Raw genomic sequence first — 21,849 nt, forward strand, 5'->3', positions numbered from 1 at the left:
AACAGTTAAGACAGACCGATCTGCTCTATAGATTAAGTTATTTTAGATCTATGAGAAAAGGAAGAGGGGGCTCTTCAGTGGTTTTCAAGCTTAGGCTTATTCTCCAGCCTCTTATTCTTCCCAGAGAACCTGGCACTGTGGGTATCTTGTGCTTACTCAGCCATTACTAAAGCACTGCTCCATTTCTCGCTGTGACATTGGTCCTTATGTGTATACTCAGAACTCCAAACATATGGATCTGTGATTTATTCTTATAATTATTTTTACTTATTAAGAAATGATGTGCCACTAACTTTATAATTATTCTACCTTAATGAGATGTGCTCTGCTGCACATCATCTGTGTACCTCAGTTTCCTCATATGTAATATGGAGGTAATGACAAAAGTATCTGCCTAACAAATACAAAACCTAATAAGGCAGACACTTGTCGTTACCTCCATATTACAGATGAGGAAACTGAGGCACACAGATGATGTGCAGTGGAGCAGTTTTGAAGTCAGGCAGTTTAGCACCAGAGCCCAAATACATAACCCCTATCCTACATTCTTGCAACTGCAGGCATGGTGAGCTCAGTGTGGCAAGAGACTCATCATAGACCAGTACTGATGCCTGTGCTCAGACACGGCCAAGATCAGTCACCACCAAGCATGCTTCAAGAGTTCCACCGCTTTCTGTTGTGTGGACTGTGGACTCATTACTCAATCTCTCTGTGTCTCAGTTTCCTTACCTGTGAAACGAGGATAACAGTAATGGTACTTAACTAATAAGGTTACTGTGAGTGTTGACACATGCAAAGTGATTAAGAAAGTGCCTGGCACACTATAAACCCTCAATAAATGTTAACTATCATTACTATTAAAAAAGGAAAAAACAGTGCTAGGGGGATGAATGGCCTACTTTTTAGGAAGCAGCTTCCTCCTAAAAACCCACAGGGATTAGAAGAGCAAAATCTTGCACCTTCTCTGTGTGGATCTTGTGGACCAAACCTGGAAAATTTATTTTCATCTGTTGAATAGTAATACCACAACATGGGAAATAATAACTCTAGAACAATGTTTCCCAAATATTGTTCCAAGGAACCCTAGTTCTGTAAGCTATTAGTAGATGTACAAAGAGTTTCATGGTCAAGTAAATTTGGGAAATTATACTTTAAATAGATGTAAACAGGTTTCTTTGTTGTAGGAGTTTTCAGAGCCTTTGGCATGCTAACAGTGACAGTAAATCTCCAAGAAGGAGCTAGAGCATGCATTTCTTCCTCCAGATTTGACCACAAAATCCATCCCCTCCTGCCCCCAACATACAACTCTTTTACTTGTTTGGGGCATCACATAGGAAGAAAGGCCACTCTGGGCTTACAGCAGAATGCTAGAAGATGGCAAATTCCTCAGGAGCAGGAACTTTTCTGTTGTATCAATCTGCCTCCCCAATACTATAAGCACAAAGGGCCAATAATATTGTTGCCCTTAATCACTTTCTTGGGGATAACACGTCCAGCATCCTGAAGTGTTCTCATCAGGTTAAGAAACATAACCTGTGGCTGGGTGCAGTGGCTTACGCCTGTAATCCCAACACTTTGGGAGGCCAAGGCGGGCACATCATCTGAGGTCAGGAGTTTGAGACCAGCCTGGCCAATGTGGTGAAACCCTGTCTCTACTAAAAATGCAAAAATTAGCTGGGCATGGTGGCGGGCACCTGTAATCCCAGCTACTCGGGAGGCTGAGGTAGGAGAATTGCTTGAACCCAGGAGATGGAGGTTGCAGTGAGCTGAGATTGTGCCACTGCACTCCACCCTGGGTGACAGAGTGAGACTCTATCTCAAAAAAAAAAAAAAAAAAAAAAAAAGAAGAAACATACCTGTTTTCTTCTCCCTTTGCAAGGTGTTCTTAGCTATTCAAGGTGAAACTCTTGCATTTTTATAGTTCCTTTTCAAAGGATTCTTTCAATATTACCTCATTTTACCCTACTGGGTAATTTATTTTTAGCCTCAAATCCAATTAATCCAAAGGTGTTAGGGGAATCTGATCTGATATTTGTCTATTTAACCCTTTCTTCAGGAAAGTACTGAGTTTTCTCTATTCTGCATAGAATTGCTGCTCTATAACGATAGTTGATTAAGAAAGAAGGAACATAAAATTCATGTGACACAGTTGTGGTCCCACAGAGATCACAAGGTATTTTAGGGAAGACAAAAAGTTAAAGAGGTAAAGATAACAATAAAAAATGTGTTTCTAATTTAATATGTTCACAATAGTTTACACATGGGGCTGCAACTAGACCATGTTGGAAAGAGAATAAGTAAAATAAAAGCTTGAAAAACAATCTCATTTTGTGGATTGAAACATTTTAGGGGAACTATTTGCTTTAAATTAATTCCAAGGTCCTGCAATGAAATTTGGATCCTTTCTCCATCGCTCTGTGGTGAGGGGTGTAGGGACAGAGGGAAAATAGATACAGAAAGAGTTTTGAAGTGTTTAGATTCAAACTAACCCTCTGTAGAAAGGCTGGAAGAGAGGGGTGTGAAAAAACTCATCAGTTGGCAAATTCTCAAAATAGTTTTTCTTTCATCATGTTTCCCCCTCTTTTCCCTCAGGTTCTTAATTCTGAGATAGGCGTGATAAAGGGGCCCAGCCTGCCTGCTCTTGGAACCCAATTCTAAAAAGGGAATGCTCAGAATCTTCTAAAGAAACCTGATCAATTAGAGAAAGTTTTCCTGGTTTGAGCATTGAGAGGAGGGCTGGGGCAACCCATCTGATGGCTCTCACCAGGGACCAAAGCAGGTGTCACTCCCTCCTGGCATACGGCCAGGATGGAGACACTCAGGAGAGCAGATTGGTTGTGAAGGGTTTGTACTGGCACCAGGAGAACTCAGAAAGCACCTTTTTCTCCCCTCTCTCCTCCTCTTCTCTCCTCTCCCCACCTCTCTCCTCCCCTCCCTTCCTCTCTTCCTTTTTGCTTTATTCTCTTCTTCCTTTCTTTTTTATATGATAAGAAAAGCAATCCACAACTCTTTATCCAAATCCCCCATGTGAGGTATGTTTTGGAATTCAGAATATTCCAAGCTTTAGAAAGGTAATTGAGTGATAGATGTAGTCATACATCTATTATGGCGTAATATATATACCCCAAGCAAGGTCTGAGGAACCACTTTTTTATTATTTGCAGTTTAATTCATGGATATTATCATTCAATAGCAAACAGATTGACTATGAATAACTTCACATTAGGCTAGTTCAGGTTTTGCATTTACAAAAACCTTTCCATTTTCAGAGCTTTTGGATTTTGGCATCTTGGATAAAGGCATGTGGACTTTAAAAAATCCCCCTTGATTACATATAATCAGAATACCTTGATTTTACTTGCACAGTTTGATGAGTTTTAACAAATGTGTTCACTCACAATCAAGACACAGAATGCTTCTACCATCCCAAGATTTCCCTCGTGTCCCCTCAGTGTAGGCCCAGGCCACTGACCTACTTTCTATTACCATAAGCTTAATTTGTTTTTTTCCTAGCGTTTTCTGTAAAAGAAATCATAGAGTATTTACTCTTTTTATGTCTGGCTTCCTTTGGTCAGCTTACTGTTCCAAAGACTCATCCATTTTGGTGCATGTATCAATAGTTCGTTCCTTTTCATTGCTGAATAGTATTCCATCGTTGATGTACCACAATTTGTTTATCCACTTACCTGTTGATGGACATTTGCATTTTTCTTCATTTTGGCTGTTAGGAATAACAATTATAAACAATTGTTTACAAATTAAAAAAATTATTTGGCTAAGTAACTAAAAGTAGAATTACTTGATCAGAGCATAAGTGTATGCTTTACTTTAGAAGAAACTCTACAGCTGTCTTTTAGTGGCTTTACCATATTGCCTTCCCAGCAGCAGTGTATGAGAGTTTTGGTGGTTCCACATCCTTGATAACATTTGGTATTGTCAGTCTTTTAAAATTGTAGTTGTTCTGGTGGCTTAATGGCACCTTTAATGAGGTTTTAGTTTGCATTTCCCTAATGACTTAAGAGAAAGTCCTTAGCCAAATTAAACTTAACAGAGTTAATTGAGCAAAGAATGATTCTCGAATCAGAGTAGGCTCAGAAAGACTCCAGTGCAGCTACGTGGTGGAAGATTTATGGACAGAAAAAGAAAAGGGGCATACAGAAAATGGAGGTGAGGTATAGAAACAGGCAAATTGGTTATAGCTTGGTGCTTGCCTTATTTGACCACAGTTTGAACAGTTGGCCCCCTTTGATTGGCCAAAACTCAGTGATTGGCACAAGAGTAGGTTACAGTGTGTTTATACCTCCATTTAGGTAATAGTTCACAATGTACAGAGAAACCTTTAGGCTGAACGTAAAATATGTAAGGAAGCAGCTTTAGGTTAAACTTGATTTAACTTGATTAATGATACTAAACATTTTTTTCATGTGCTTATTTACCATTGCTGTAGTTTATTTTGTATAGTGTCTGTTCCATTTATTAAAAAAATTTAAAAATTGAGTTGTTTTTATTATTGAGTTGGAAGGGTTTTATTTTTTTAAATGTATTCTGGATACAAGTCTTTTGCCAAGTATATGTAGTGCAAATATTTTCTTTCAGTCTGTAGCTTGCCTTTTTATTTTCTTAATGGGTATCTTTCAAAAAAATGGAAGTTTTAAGTTTGAATGGAATTCAGTTTGTCTTTTAAAGCTTGTGCTTTTTGTGTTCAACTAAGGGATATTAGCTTACCATTTTTTTTGGTTGAATATTATGTGTTTATAGACAAGAAATGGTCACTAAAGCAAAATAACTGAAAATTATCTTAGAATATGAAGGCAACTGATGTTTTTGAGCACCTGCTATATGCCTGGCTCTATGCTTAAGACTCTCTTATGTCATTAATCTTCAGAGCAAACCTCTGGAGTTTTTAAAGGGTATGTAATAGAAGTTCAAGGGATGTTATGTAACTTGGTCAAAGTTATACAGCTGCTCAGCAGAGAAGACAGAATTTGAAATTAGGTCTTTTGAATAATGATAATAATAATGATAGCTTCCATTATGGAATACTTAACTCATGCCATTCGTACTGTACTAAGTGCTTCATGTGGAGTAATTTAAACTAGTCATCACAACCATCCTATGAAATGAATAATATGATTTTACAGATGAGGAAGCTGAGGCCCAGAGATGGTAAGTATTCTGACCAATGCCATATAGCTCTTAGGCTCGGCTTTCCCTGCTTTATTCCAGTCTCTTTTAGGATTCATATTTAAGATGGTATGTGTTGGGTTGCACATCTTTGGTATGTAAGTCACGACACTTCTAGGAAGCTTGGTTCTTCACTGGCCTGGCTACAAAACAGTAGTTTCTGTAGGTGAAGATTTAAGAAGGGATTGCAATCATTTTTCTTTGTTTCAGTCCTCCAGTTCTGTAATTATTTCCTAGGAAGTTTGTTTAGAACCCCATTCCAGAGAATCCCTGGGTATTTGAAATGTGTTTGCACCCATTTAATCAAGTTTTCCTGAAAATGCAGCATCTTGGTTTTGACTGTTTGTGCTCTGATTTTATAGGCTTAATCTAATGGTTTGATTCCAGATTCCCAAAGCACTGCTTTTGATTTGAAAGGATAATTTTTGCATTGCCTATAGAAGTTTGCATTTTACAATAATTTTAAAAGAAGGTACCTCAAGTTGCAAATATGGCCTAATATAAACCTTGCTTCACTACTTCCATCAGTATCATTTCTCTTTAGAGCTGCATCTCATCATTTTCTCTTCTCTTCCAATATGTTTTATTATAAAATCAGACACATTAACTATTTCTCAGTACACTGTCACCTCCAACTTCACCATAGAAGTCTCTGTGAGTCTTATTTATTCTCATTCTCTCTCACTCAGACACAACGCACAGCAACACATGTACACACATGCACCCACATTTAGGGTTAAGAAACTTCTATGAAGAGGTTTGGTGTGCTGTGATATCAGACCTCAAAAAAAAAAAATTTCTAGAAGTCACTCTTTTCCCTCATCTTAAAGTGAAAAAGCTCTAGATTATCTTCTATGAAACATCTATGAGAACAGGTGATGACTCACTCAAAAGATGGGTTACCTTTATGAAAAGTGTAGAATTTCTCATGAGGACAATGGGCCAGAGTATATGAAATCTGAACTGCTCAGGTCACGAGGTCACTAGATCTCTCTCTCACATAAATGATTCGGGACAGCCCACCTCTTTCAGCGGTAGCCATTAAAATTGGTCTTCTCTCTCTCTCTTTTTTTTCTTATAATATGTATAATCTTTTTTTTTTTAAATTTTACTTTAAGTTCTGGGCTCTTCACTGGCTTCCTTTTAAAGGGGAACTTGTTGTACATAGGCCTGAACTCTCGTCATCTTTTAGACTGGAAACGTCAGCTCTCAGGTACCAGGAATGGGGTGGGATGACAAAGGGCATTGGGCCCTGGACACTCCTCAGTTTGAGAACTAGCTCATGACACCAGCCTTTCAACTGTGTGTACCGCTAAAGGTGTATGTTGACTTTCCAAGTGGTACGTGTGTGCAGAAATTGATTTTAATCAATTTCTGATCTTTGCTTGTCTTCCATTTGTATTTTTTTAATGCTCTCTGAGAACTCACCTGTATTCATATTTACCCCTAAGTAGAATCTTATTCTGGTGGATTGTCCCAGAGTGTAAACACCTCTGTGACCAAACAAAGTCATAAATAGAAATATTGTTTTAGAGAAGCCTAATTAAAGTATCTCAAATTGGTGAGGATTTTCTATCTTGCCCTGTTTTGTACATATTTCCATTTAGGGTAGAGCTGAATCTGTATTGAGATGCTCTGAATTCAGAACCTCCAAAATGGTGTAGGTTAATAATTATGACTCTTTAAAATGTATATTTAATTTTTAATATGGAGTGTTTTCTCAGATTACAAAATTTTTCAAGACACATTTGCCAACACCCTTGGATAAAAGTTATACATGATTTCTTTTGGATTTGGTATATTATTGCCTAAGGTAGCAAAAGCCTATTTTATCACATTGTGCAATGAACTATTTACTCTGAATTTTAAAGATTTTCTACCTACTATTAAAAATATGCTTTCAAATGTATGATGAAAATTTCAGATTACTACTTAAAAAGTGTGAAGAGGTTCATAAGTTTTCTAAGTTATTTTAGGGATATGTGAGCAGGAGAAATGGCAGACTACTGATGTGAGACTGTGCTAGAATGTCCAGTGCTCTCTGACCTCCAGGAAGACGGTTGAAGCCTTGGTGGAAGTGATTCATTGAAGATCTGCCATGCACTTGTATGTGGACAGGTGACTCACTGATGATGTGCCATGCACTTGTACACGAACAGGTGACTCACTGATGGTCTTCTATTCTTGTACGTGGAGAGGTGGCTCACTGACCACCTGCCATGCACATGTATATGGACAGGTCCAAATCCAAAAACAAATCATGTGTAAGTTTTATCTCTGGGTGTTAGCAAATGTATCTTGAATAATTTGGTAGTCGTAGAGAACATCCTATTTAAAAGATTAAACATACATTTGAAAGAGTCAGTATCAGCTGGGCGCGGTGGCTCATGACTGTAATCGCAGCACTATGGGAGGCGGAGGTGGGCAGATCATGAGGTCAGGAGATAGAGACCATCCTGGCTAACACAGTGAAACCCTGTCTCTACTAAAAATACAAAAAATTCGCCATGCATGGTGGCACGCGCCTGTAATCCCAGCTACTTGGGAGGCTGAGGCAGGAGAATCGCTTGAACCTGGGAGGCAAAGGTTGTAGTGAGCCGAGATCGTGCCACTGCACTGCAGCCTAGGTGACAGAGGAGATTCTGTCTCAAAAAAAAAAAAGAGAGTCAGTATCACTACTCTGCCCCATTTTGGATGTCCTGATTTTGGAACATCACAATAAGGATCCAGCTCCACCCTAAAAAGAAATACATACAGAGATGATAATTAGTTATTATCAGTGACTTTAAAACATACAGAGATGATAATTGGTTATTATCAGTGACTTTAAAACATTTTCATGAATAACTCTTTTTATATATCCACTTGTTAATAAACTTCATTTTCTCTCTATGTTAATATGGCAAAAAAGCCAAACAAACCAATTTTGACTGATATCCTTTTCAAACTTCTTGAAAGTTTTTGTTTATGGCATATCTTGTTTTATTTATTTCTATTGAGAATATTGGTTCTGATGTAAAATATTTCAATTACCTGCCACATTTGAGGAGCCTAATAAGCACTGTGTAAATTGAAGAAGTGTAGAACATGGCTTAAAGCCAGGTAGCCCTCATAAATGTAATTTTTACTGTGCAGCTGCATTTATCCTCAGAGGAAGAACAGTACTTGAAATACAGCAGTTTAGTGACCTGGTTTTTTAAAAAAGCCAAAACAAACAAACATAACACAACACAAAAACTATGCCTAAACAAGGAAAAGTGGAGGATATAATAAAAGGAACATGAAAGTAGCTTGCGCTTATAATAGATTTAGAAAGACTAACACCTAAATAAGCTGGGACTTTCAGAACATTCTAGCAACCATGAAAAAGAAGTTAAAAAAGTGTTGGGAGAAACAGAAGAACCAGGCAGGCCAAACTTGCTGCTTGTAGTGAGGGATGTACTGTAGACAGGTGAGGGAGAAATAAAGGACAGTTTACCTGTTATTTTCCTTTTGTCTTTTCTGTTTGGGTAGAAAAAATATGAAGAGGAAACTGAAGCCCAAGTAGAAGAAGCAGGACCTATGTGTTCTCAATTAGCTCAGCAATTCTGGCCAATAACTCTTAGAATCCTATAAAAACTAGAGAATAAAATTGATGAACAACTGTTAGGGCTATTTGAGGATTGGAAATGAGCAAGTAGCATTCTAATTTAAAAAAATAAAACATGAAAGTGGTTTCATGAATGCTATAATGTACAAATATTTGTTAAGCATTTACTGGGTCCCAGGCACCATGCTGGGGCTGTACCAGGGAACTGAGGGACACTGCCCTCACCTTCTTGGAGTGTGCAGTCAGTGGGAGGCACAATGCCGAGTGGTTTGGGAAGGGAAATATAGGGTGCATGAGATACTGGTCAAGTGCCCTTTCTAGATATGAGAACCACAGTTTGAATTTCCGGTCAACAGTGTAGAATAGATCATCAAAGCGCTGATTTGGGAAGTAACGAAGCAGTGGTCACAGGGACTTCCCATGACTTCACCAAGTCACCACCACCAACCCTACTTCTTTCCTTGACAGGGGATAATTTGAAAATCTTTCTTTCATTCGTTCATTCATTCAACAGCACCAAATGAAGAAAGTGTTTTTTAAGCATCTATTATGTTTCAGGAGCTGTTATAGGCACTAGGGATATGGTAGTGAACAAAAGGGTTAAAATCCCCGCCCTCTTGGAACTGACATTCCAGCGGTAGATTCAGAAAACAGACAAGATAAAGATAAAATACGTATATGTTAGATGTAGGTAAGTCCTAAAATGTCAGCAGGATAGAGGGGTTTGAGTTGTTTGTGCAGGAGGTTGCAATTTTATATAGTGTGGCCAAGCAAAGTCTCACCGAGAAGGTGACTGTGAAGTAAAGAATAGTATGTCTTAAACATTCAAAATCCTTGGCCATAATTAGTAAACTTGAAAACAGTTTTTGCAGCTTGTTGTGGGAGGCCAATAATGTTTTTCAATATAAAATTATGGTATTAAATATGCATTTTCAAATCTACACATTCTCTAGCTTCTCACCATGGGGACTCTGATGTGCCTCCTAGGGTGTTGTGTCATGCTCCTGAGTTGAAGGGAAGTCACAAAGGTCTCTAAGTTTCCTAAGTCACTGGTCTCGGCCCAGTCCTCTCAGTTTTTTAAAAAATCCATGTCTTGCATGGAAGCATATAGCAAATCATTACATTTGCGGAGGTCTTAAGTAATAGCAAATACATCACATGATGAGCTCTGAACTTAATAGGACCTTGAGTAACAGTTGGTTATCTCTTTGATTTTTAAGTACAGGGAAGATGTCAGAAGGCTGGAATATTGAAAATGTAGTTTTAAATTCAAAATTAAAGAATTAGACCATAACCAACTGACCACTGAGTCAAATATGGCCAAGAATCTGGAGTGTATAAATAAAAGGATGGTTTGTGACTACTCTGAAAAGGAAGCAACATGATGTGGCCTCCCATGCTGCTCTCGTTCTGTCGCAAGACATGGTTCCCACACTGGCAGAACAGAATCAAAGAGTCTAAAGCAGAGTAATATAGTCACAAAGGCACGTGATTTACTGTCAGGGGACCTTGGTTTGGGTCTTAGCTTCACATCTTATTTATGTGGTTAGAAAAAATTGCCTAACCTTTGAAAATCTTAGTTTCATCATATGAAAATGATGAAAATAATACCTTTATTATAAGTTGCTATCAGGGTCAAGTGAGAGAGAGAGAGAGAAAAGCAATTTGTAAAGCATAAAGTATGAAATAAACATCAGTTATTCTAGGTTGGAGAAATGTTGCTCAAATGATAGTAGCTACCTAAAGTGCCTATGAGAACTTAACTAACTTAAGGAAGGAGTAGCACCTAGAGCAAGAGCAGTGATAATTGACATTGTCTTTGACGTGGGAAGAGTCTACCTGAAGGTCTGTAGTTAGGTCTATATTTTTAGAGGTACATAGAAAATTGGATTGTGACTACAAAGCCTCATGAGAATAGTGAGAAGACTGGATACCATCCCCATGAGGAATATTTGAAGGGATTAATAAGTCTTGAAAGTGGTGATAGTGGTCATGGTAGGAGTGAGGTAACCATCTTCAAATAGTTGAGGATTACCAGGTGGTGAAAGGATTTAGTTTGTTCTGTTTAGTTTTGAGGGGTAGCAATCGAGCACAATAGATGAATCTAGACTTCTGGTCACAGAAAGACAGGGCTTTTTGATAGAGGTATGGCATGGTTACAGCAGGACCAGAGAAGTCCTCACCAGTGGAGGCTTCCAACATGGACTAGATATCCACCTGGCAGGGGAGAAAATTCATGGACCAGATGGATGGTTAGGCATCATGACCCCTTACAATACCTTAAAAGCTATTGCAATAAATATTTTAAAAAGCCATAAGAAGAAATAAAGAGCAATAATCCACAAAAGTGGTGCAAATGAAAACCTAATACAGTATAACAAGTATTTTCTTAGTATTTACTATGTATCATAAGTAATCTAAAGTGCCTTCCAACCTCACAAGTCCATCATTTCATGACATCGTCTATCTATTTGTTTATCTTTCTATATATCCATGTAATATTCATGAACATACTGTACTGTCATCTTCCGGAAGCTCTGTTATGACTGCAGTTTCCCTATTATTTAATCCTGTGTTTAGAAAGGTCATTTAAACTGAGATGTAATCTTTAATTTTTTCCCGCCCTGCTTTGGCTGCCTGACTCGTCTTAACCATTCATGTGCCTTAGAAACTGCAGACTCCAGAGAGCCTTCATATTATGTGAAAGGATTTTCCAAGGCCAAGCTAATTGCATTCAATCTTTATCTCAAATGAAAGAACAACTTTGATCTGTCAACTGTGAAAAGTAAACTGGGCATGACCTTCACTCATCACCAATCATCTCACTTAATGACGTTTGTTAACTTTATTCTGATATTAGATCATGGTCCTTCTTTGTTCTGTCAGAGTTTTTTCATCTAAAGTCTAACTATTTCCATTTATATGTATAAGGAGAGCTTAGAAGCCCAGTGTGTTGGATATGAAGTTTATTGAAATACATCTCAAATTTTAAAGACAGTTTGTTGTATTTGCTATTTGCCTAAGAAAGTGGAGAAAATGAAGAGATCGACTTTAAAGTCAAATACACATTAAAGTACTCACTTCATTGCCCTTGACACCCTGAGCATTTCTTTTGCTGTGCGATTGTGTGTTCTAGCTCAGTTGCTTCTGTTTTACCTTTTCACCCGGAAGGCCCCCAAATGACAATTATTGCTTCTTAAAGAATACAACTTCAGAGAAGCTGTCACCGTGAATCAGGCTAGACCCAACTTGAAGAAACATCCTGGGATCTGAAATGCTTCAAGTGTTTTATGTGATTGAACCTTTTGTTTGCTGAAAAGGTATCAGAGCACCCAAAGCAGGTTATCTTTTCACAGCATGGCAGAGGATAGGCTAATCCATTTTCTCATGAACAGTCTGAAATAAGCTAAATATAATTAGCTGTATGACACTTTACAGTAATTCTCAAGTATTTTAGTACCTCTTAAAACATTTTCCTTCAAATTCACATTTAAAATTTGTAATCCAAACTGATAGTTTAAATATTCAAACCTGTTTATGACATACACAGATAAGAATTAAAATAACCTGGAAACTATTTGGTTAAAATCACTGGTCTAGGTAAGAAAACTGTGTCTACTATTAAACTGGAATTGACTCAATCCATACTCATTTACTACCTGATGCCCTTGAACTGTGAGCCGTGTCACTCTCTCCCTGTCCCATTCATATCAGAAGGCTAAAATAACTTGGACACAGAGTACAGAAAGTGTTTGCAGCTTCCCCATCCATGGGTTCAACCAAGAGCAAATCAAAAATATTCCAGGAAAGAAACAATGCCCTAAAAACTATTGAAATAAAAAATTTTAAAAAGCCATAAGAAGAAATAAAGAGCAATAATAAAAAATCAATCCCACAAAAAATGATGCAAATAAAAAACTAATACAGCCTAACAAGTATTTACATAGTATTTACTGTGTATCATAAGTAATCTAGAGATGATTTAAAAGTATACATGAGAATATACAGAGGTTATATGCAATTACCATGCCATTTCATACAAAGACTTTGAGCATCCTTGGAATTTGGTATCCAAGGGAGGTCCTGAAACTAATCCCCTGCAGATACGCGGGGATGATTATACATGTAAAATTCCTCATCCTCTTCTTCCCAATACAGGCTTCTATGATGGGATAACAAAAATGGAAGGGAAAAAGAAACAACATGTGTTAAATTTATTTTAAAAATTTATTACACACACACACACACACACACACACACACACACACTTGCCTCAAGTAAGTATGTAGGCAGATAATTATTTTCATAGCTACATTCCTATATATTGAATCAATTGAATTATTAAAGAATGATATAAATCAAATAAAGTTCCTAATCAATTTTATTTCAATATAGCATAAAATTATAAAAAAGCAATAAAGCATTGTCTATCAAATTGCTTTTGTTAGAATGTCCAGTGCTTTTTCATTGAATAAACATGAACAAATATAAACTGTCAGAATTATTATCAGTAATGTGCTGGAAATAATAATCTGCAGTATTGGGGTTAATAACCTGTGGAAGTGACTGGATTTGGTACCTCATTTCTTGAATCTTCCCAGCACGTCACCAAGAATGACAACAATTTTAGACATTTTGACTTGAAATTAGGCTTGAAAATAGCTACTCTCTTGGGGTGAGTTAACATTTAATGTTGGGCAAGTAGAAATGACTGCTGATTTTCATTCTTTATGTTAATTCCATGGGGAGGGTGAGCTAGTAAAACATTTGTGTGAGCTGGTCATTATTTGAAATTTATTTACCAAAGTGGCTTACGTAATAATCATCCCCGTGCTAAATCAGTCAGTCAACAAGTTTTTATTGAGTCCCCATTGGATTAGAGTAATGTACAGTAATGATGTATTCAGTAGTGTACAGATGTATGCAGCAAAGATTAGACATGAGCTCGACCCCCAAGGCCTTACAAGCCATTAGAGGAGACAAACAGACACATATCATCAACTGAAATGTAACCAGATGACTTAACTCCCAGGGCATGGAAGAGTAATGGCTGGGCTGGGATTGTTCTGGAGGGTGATGGGATGGGTTAAATGTGGGAAACTTCCATGATGTAGGTGCCTTGGTCTGGGTTGGGTTGAAGAAAGTTAGTGGCTTGGTAGAGGAGAAAAGCAATTTTGCTTAGTGAATACAGTGTAACTTGGACAAAGACTGAAGTAGAGGATGGGAGTCTGTTTATTTTATCTGGAGGTATAGCAAGATGGAGAAACATACAGGTAAGACAGATAATGGATAGAATTATTTGAAACCAAGATTAGCAGGGTTGACACTGGAGGGGTATAAGTCACATACCCAATAAAGCTCCATTTTAGCTTTGTTGGAATCTGATAGACAAAAAATTGCACGCTTTTAATGTATATGTCTTGATGAGTTTGGATATAAGCATACCAAACTGTGATACCATTACCTTAACTAAAGCAATAAACATATTCATCACCTCCAAAAATGTCCTTGTGTTTGTTTGTGTTTCTCTTCTTCCTTTTCTTTGGTAGGAACACTTAACATGAGAGCTATCCTCTTAACATTTTAAAGTTCACAATACCATAGTGTTAACTATAGGTACTTGTTGTACAGCCGAACTCTAGGATGTATTCATCTTGCATAACAGAAACTTTATATTCATTGAAAAATTTCCCATTTCCCCTTTCCCCTTTCCCCTAGTCTTTGGCAAACGCTGTTTTATTCTCAGCTTCTGTGGTATTCACAGAAGCTATGTGGGTATACCCAGTCTGTGGAATTCTGTTATGGCAGCAGAAAATGGACTTAGACAGATGTCTATCTTTTGTAAACCAGCAATACTCAGTGCATAATTCAGTTTCAGTGAGTATGTTGTCATACTCACACACAGTATGTACTGTGCATTGGAAGTTGGTGAGGAAGGAGGGCAAAACCACGGGGAAAGAGGCAGAATGCCTGTCCTTCCTTACTTTGAAGCTAAATATGCCTCTCTGTGGCTTCTACTGGTTGTTCCTAGTTCATTATCTTCAGATTACACAAAACAGGCCTAATCCCTTTCTCTAGATAGCCCTGTAATGTTTGAAAAGTGTAGGTTTCCCTGAGCCTTCTTTTCTCATGGTGAGCCTTTCTGACACCCTGTCACCCATATTCTCTTCTTAGCTCCTCCCCATCCAGGTTCCCCTAGTGTTGGGCAGCAAAGGAGGTCAGGACTAACACCATCATGGCTCAGGTAGAGGCTTCTGTAAACAGACTATACTGCACCACCACTCTTGGCCACATCTAGTTATTTACTCGTGTTGACCTTAGTGCCACTGAGGACCATTGAGGATTATTGCACACATAAAATTATGTCTCCCCTATTTATAATCACCTATTAATGTCACTTATCATTCATTCACTCTCTCCCTCAGTCATTCTACAAACATTTGTTAAGCATTTACTATGCGTGAGGCACTGTCTTAGGTGATGGGGACATCAGATCTAGCAGAGTGCCTGACATAAATGTGGGAACTTGTGTTTATCTCTGTTGAATATCATCTTGTTGGATTGGGTTGGGATCACCAGTCTTTCTGTCTCTATCTCTTTCTTGCTCTCCCTTCTTTTTGTTTTCTCTCTCTCTCTCTCGGGTGTGTGCATGTGTGTGATATAGACATAAAGATATAGAGTATGCATAGTTTATATATGTATATGTATGTGTGTTTATGCATATATATATATTCTAGTGTTTGTGAAGTTTCCCATTTATGTATTGATGAGTCTAGTTAGGTAGAGGGAAGAAAGTTTATCATGGAGGTAAATTATGGATTATAATCTTAGACAACATTAAAATCATAACTGTTCCAAGATTCTGGGATAGAGAAAAATAGTGTGTGTGTGGGAGATGAGGCTGGTTAGCATATTTGTGATAAGCATGGGTTTTGGAGTCAGACCTCCTGAGATCGAATGTGGGTTCCATCACTTACCTGCTATGTGACTGAGGGCAAAATGCTTAGATTCCCCAAGTTTCAGTGCCATTTGTATACATCCCTGTATACTCAGGAATAATAATAGTTTCTGTTCAAAGGGTTATTGTGGTAATTAAATGAGATTATGTGTATAAAGTGGTTAGTATAGTGTCTGAGACATATTAAAGATCAGTAGATGGTAGATAAAATTATGTAAGAAAAAGAATTGACTTTCAAGGAAGGAAAATGGGACTCGATGTCAAAGTCCATTGGAGCCAACTTTAGAGGCTATTTGAACTAAAGTTGTACTGGGATTTGACATTGAATTTTGCTGGGTTTCAGACCGTTCTGAAAAATATTTTTACTGGAGCAAAATGTTGGTTGTGACAAAACTTACTGCCATAGGAGTTGACTTGGATTAGTAAGTAGTTAAATTAATTGTAAAAAAAAAATCTCTGAATCTCAAATGTGGCTTCTTTACTTACTTTTTACACATTTCACTTTCCACAATAACTCAGAATAGGCGGTATAATTTTTCTGTAACATCTGAATGAATTATACTTCTACCATATTAGTTAGTAGCTTTGCATAGCTTGTAGATTATATTTTATTAATTAAAATGGTTTGGTTTGTTCTTATGTGCCCATGTGAAGGACTTTTAAATAAGTCGTAGGAAAAATAATTACTGGAAAATAACCAGCTGTCTTGTCTTTGACTCAGATGTTTCCAGCATTGTCGATTTTAGTCTGTTTCAGAGCAGACCAAGAGAGTCTACATTGATGAGTTAAGGATATTGCCAAACTTGGTTTTTAAGGTACTTGGGATATTACTTATAATTTCTTAATAAATTCCAGCAGCCCTTTTTGATAATTAGGGAATAAGAAAAGCCCTCAGCAGCATGCCAGTACAGTGGAGTAATGGCCGTTAAAGACATGAGCTTTGGGACTATTTGAAAACAAATGGTCATTCACCAGAAAAGTAAAACAAACTGAGCAGTTGTACTCAGCTTTCCTTCTTCGGCTCTGTGCCATATTTATAGGTCAACTCCAACTAGTCAGTCCTGGTAAGTTTTTTTTTTTGTCAGCTATACGAGTTCCACCAAGGCAGTGCTTAGCTCTGTTCTCACTCCATGCTCTGATAGCAGGTACATGTTTATTTTCTTTATTTGAAGAAAGTGCTCCAATAAAATAAAATTATAAAACAATTAAACAGAATTGAAGCCAGTCGGCTCCAGTTTATCCTGGATGAAGACTGCAAATAAATGCATGTATAATAGATTTTGCCTTTCTGTTTCGTCTTTTACATTTTAGTGGCATTTTGATTTAACACACTTATTTTACATTGATGGTAGCATTGTAGGGAATTTTAAGTTATATATTAGTTCTTCTACCTCATTCAGGGTATAGCTTTCTGACTATTGTATAAAATTAACTGTATGATGATTCCTTAAGAAAAAAGGGCTCATTTTCTACCCCTTAAATAATCTACAAGGTGTTAAAATGTGATGAAAATAAAAGAAGAAGGAAAATACATTTGATAAAATGCCCACTTTTCAGTTGGACAGTTGGAGTGGATTGGTTTGTTTTTGTTGAAAATATGCTAAGTAATGAAATAATAAAGCTTTAAAGAATTGTTGGTGGGAAAAAAGGCAGGAGAAATAGGAAGCAGGTGGGACTTGGTGTTAGGTTTATGCACCATGCTTGGTGACTTTAGTTTTCTTTTTTCGTGGGTTGCATTAAATGCTGTTACAATTTTTGGTTAAGTCTAGCTGGTATCAGTTATTTAACTGTTCCCTTTGGCTTCTGAAGAAAAAAGAATGGTAGAAAGAATGGAACATGAATGTCGTTTGGTCAAAAGATTCAGGTTCCTCTTATGGCAGGACTCCAGACGCTGATACTTATCTTTGGGCAGAAGTCTGGAAAAGGTGGCTATGAAGAAGTTGAGAACTTAAACTAGGCATGGTTCTTTCAGCAAATTCTCACAGAGGCTTGGGCTCATGAAACAACCAAGAGTAAGAACCTTGAGATTGCTACCTCTTCATCTTAGAGATGAAGAAACTGAGGCTGCATATGGAAAGGCTGGAGGCTAGAGAGGTGACATGCAGTCACTCATCAAGTCAGGGCAAAACCAGTGTTATGATGCATGGCTCTCTTACCATGATGACATTATAGCTGGCATTATAACTGCCATCACAGTAGGGAGCAGGATACCTGCAGAGTTGTAGAGACTGATGGTAAAGTAGACAAGAGCAAAGATCACTGGGCTGGGCAACAGAAAATCTAGGTCAAACTTGTTTCCCTGAGTCTTTGGACAAGTCACAAATGCTCTAGATATCAGTTTTCTGATTGACAGATGACTACATAACTGCCCCATTGACCTCAATGGATCAAATGAAATGTGGGTTGTGAAGATGCTATGACAACCAAAGACAATACATGTGTAGGGCATTACAGAATACCATTGGCCATTCCTTCCCTAACGAATTCTCAACAATTACTCAGAGCTGCGAAAGCATCTTAATTCACTACCACCCAACAGAAGACAAGAAAATTATCTGGCAACTCAGATGAACCTGCATCCCACCCACAGTCTTAGTTATGAAATCCTTGAGAAGCTTGCTTTTAACTCAGCAAGTTGTAAACATTTATATCATTTATTTATTCGTGAACTCATTTATTGAATAACTGAAGCACAAAAAATAGTAGACATAGTGCCTGCCTTTCCCTCAAGGGAAAAACAAACATATAAATAAATGTGATTTATATGGCAAGTGTTGTATATTAAGGACTTGGAAAGACTAAGAAAGGAAGTAAAGGGTTATGAGGAGGTTTTAAGAAAGAAGTGGTCTTGAAGGTTGAGTAATATAGGGACCTGCTAATAAGGTAAAGACATGCGGAGATTTTGACCAAGAGAGGAACCTTAATAAAGTCATGAGAATGTGACAGTAAGAGGCATGTATGGGAAATGTTGTGCTGTCCAGTGGGACAGAGGGTAGGGAATATGGGGAGACTGTTGAGAAATGGGTCTACACAGGCAAGTGAGGTCAATCATGAAAGTCCTTGGTTAGTAGCTAGGGAGATTAGTGTTTTTCCAACAGACTTGGGAGGACACTGATATTTATTCTATAACAACATTTTTTTTCAGCTAAAAATGAGACAAGCTGATTAATTAAATTTATAAATAATTTGCACAAGTACAAGGAAATGTAAGAAAACTACTAATTCAACGATCTGGAACTACAGTTATAACCATTGAGTGAACATTGTTGTGGACTTTTCTCTATGCACACATACAAATAGATTAAAAGAGAAAGATACTTTTTATAAAAACAGGATTGTTTTCTGGTTCTGGCAATAATTATACAAATACAAATAAAATATATAAATTAATCTGGAAAAAAGATCATTTCTGGTATCATGGCATGCCAGAAATAGGTTTAAGCAGTAAACTTATGAATGGATGCTGTGATGATTTTGAAAGATATTAGGCTGGATAAAGGGATTAGAGGCTGAGGTTTTAATGCCCATGTAGACATGGGAAATATGGCATTGGGCCTGACTGAGGCAGGGAGCTGGAACACAGATCCCTACTTAAACTGGGACCTTGGAGATGAAAAGTTACGTCCTTGGTAAAAGGAGACTAGCAAAAAAAACAAAACAAAACAAAACAACAAAAAAACAACAACTCACTGGCTCAGGTAGTGTGACTAGAAAATTTGTTACTTTTTGGAACTCTGGATGGGAAAATATGAGAGAAATGAAAACTCCTGGTCACCAAAAATAGATGTAAAGTTGACATTTACATTCTTAATTTAATGCTGGAATATGTAAGCTGAGAAACTAACATCAAAACTATTCCAGACAAAAGCAAAAGTTAAATAATTATATAGCAAGACTTTTACACTCCAGGATATGCAGGTATTATGGGGGAAAATGGAGGGAAACAAGTAAAACCTGTAAATTCCATGGGGAAATAATCTATAATGAGTCAGCAGGCTGTATGAGTAGGAAGGCTAGCATTCCCACAAACTTGAAATAATAGCACAATCTGTGAAAGACTATACAATAGCCATGCTTCAAATGGTTAAAATGATAAAAGAAGAACTGAAAATCATAAGGAGAGAACAATACACTGTGAAGAGGTAAATTTGAAGAAAAAAATAGAGCTTCTAGAAATACGGGCATGTCATTGATATCTCCATGAATGAGTTATGTGTTAGATTATAAGCAGCTGAAAAACGAATTAGTGAATTGGAAGACAACTGAGAAAATTATGTAGAATGTAGCAGAGAGATAAAGAGATGGAAAAAACTGAAAAAATATTTACGAGAAATGAGAGAGAGATTCTGAGATATTGGAGAAGGGGCAATTCTTGAGATAATGGCTTACAATTTTCCAAAACTGATGAAAAATACCAGCTTTTAAAGAACTATGTACTCAGTGGCATGCAGGTAAATATTAACAACCAGCTCTTCACGATTGAAGAAAGCCCTGATTTATAGTGTTTGTTAATTGCTGTGGTGTAAATACTGTCATTACGGCTGATTTCAGGTTACCAGTATGACTTCACTGAAATGGGAATTGGGAAGAGATGTGCATAACTGGCTCTCATGAGCCAGTATGAACTGACTTCAGAACACAACTGCATATGCTAAATGTAGTAATTATTCCTCAGAAGAGAATCTGTCTTTTGTGTCTATAAAATATTATCATTGTCATGGATGTTCTACAGTTTCACTACAATGTGTCAAAAATTGTAGTGAAACTGTAGAACATCCATGACAACGATAATATCTTAATTATAGACACAAAAGACAGATTCTCTTTTGAGGAATAATTACTCTGATGGTAGACTTCTCATTGGTTTAAACAAATCAGAGCCAATCCTTGGTACCGAGCATGGGATCAGGGAGCCCAAGCATAGAAGTCATGTAGAGGAGGGGTGGACATCTAAATGAAAACCTGTTGCTGTTAGGAAGGGGGAAGGAAAATGAATATGAGGTGAAAAACCTAGCTGTATCTATAATATGGTATATATTTTTCAATCAGAAGATTCAGGCTTTTCTTCATTTCGGAGAAATTTTTTCCTTCTCGTCATCTTTGAATGACTTTTATATTCCATGTATTTGATTCTATACCTAAGGGAGACCAAAAACTTGTCCTTATTCTAGGCTGTCCATGTCATTCTTCTATATTTTCCTCTTATTTTAATCTCTGCCTTTTTTTCTATGCATTTGCTAAGATTGTTCAAGTCTTTGTGTGTGTGTGTGTGTGTGTGTGTGTGTGTGTGTGTGTTGGGGGGCAGGGGAGAGGATAATCATTTACTTTTCAGCTGAATTAGTCTTCAGTTTGTTTTCTTAGTTTTTTAGCTTCCCTTTTCATCTCATTTACCTTGTTTTTTGAATAACATCCCTATGAAATTATTATATATATTGAAGTGCTCATGGGGAACACTCTTCTATTCCACGGTATGTAGAATGACATTTGTTTAATTTGGTCTCTACCTCTGGGTAAATGTTACTGATTTACAGAAGTTACTGATATGGAGAAGGGAGACAACTAGTGATATAAATGAAAGTTCCTGGATGGAGGTGCACTTTCATTTTGTTAGTTGTGGGATAAGGAGACTTCCAGCTTTGAGTAGTCCCCTTAGGTGTGTATTGCCTTCTCTTTCCCCAACCCTCATCCTCTCTTGCCTAACTGCCATAGACTGTGACTGACATCTCCACTCTGCACAGAAAAGAGTATTAGGTTCTAATAAATTGCTTCCATAAATTTGGTAGCATAAATTTGACAGGACTTTAGGAAGTTAATTGACTGGAAGCGGGTAGGCTTCCTTGAGCCTGAGAATATGGTTTCCTCTCATCCTCCTGGATATGACCTGAATTTACTTGATGTCCAGCAGGTTCTAGACATGCAGCCTTTGCAGCAGGGGGTGAATTGGTCAGGACTCTTTTTTAAAAGTAGCAGAAATCCAATCTGAGTTAGTATAAACAAAGCAAAATATAAAAGAGAGATGCTCTAGCTTATGTGCTGAAATGATGGGGTGAGCAGAGGAACTGGTCTCTTGAATGATGAGGTCCAGGAAATGGCACCTCAGGGCTTCCTTGTCACCTCT

At 37.4% G+C, this 21,849-nt stretch overlaps 1 long non-coding RNA gene across 9 annotated transcripts in view, besides 1 other annotated feature; it reads left to right on the top strand.

The window, feature by feature from the left end:
- CFAP418-AS1 (CFAP418 antisense RNA 1) overlaps positions 1-21,849 on the top strand; it is a 541,308-nt gene that overhangs the window by 190,267 nt on the left and 329,192 nt on the right. The window lies entirely within an intron of this gene.
- Positions 6,846-8,045: an enhancer, noted in NCBI's record as "P300/CBP strongly-dependent group 1 enhancer chr8:96478176-96479375 (GRCh37/hg19 assembly coordinates)". NCBI's record gives its function as "activates an origin of replication core promoter dependent on BRD2, BRD4, P300/CBP, MED14 and CDK7 cofactors, with strong dependence on P300/CBP, by STARR-seq in HCT116 cells {active_cell/tissue: HCT116}" and the evidence as "EXISTENCE:reporter gene assay evidence [ECO:0000049][PMID:35650434]".

This window comes from Homo sapiens, chromosome 8, assembly GCF_000001405.40.
Source record: "Homo sapiens chromosome 8, GRCh38.p14 Primary Assembly".
Lineage (NCBI taxonomy): Eukaryota > Metazoa > Chordata > Mammalia > Primates > Hominidae > Homo > Homo sapiens.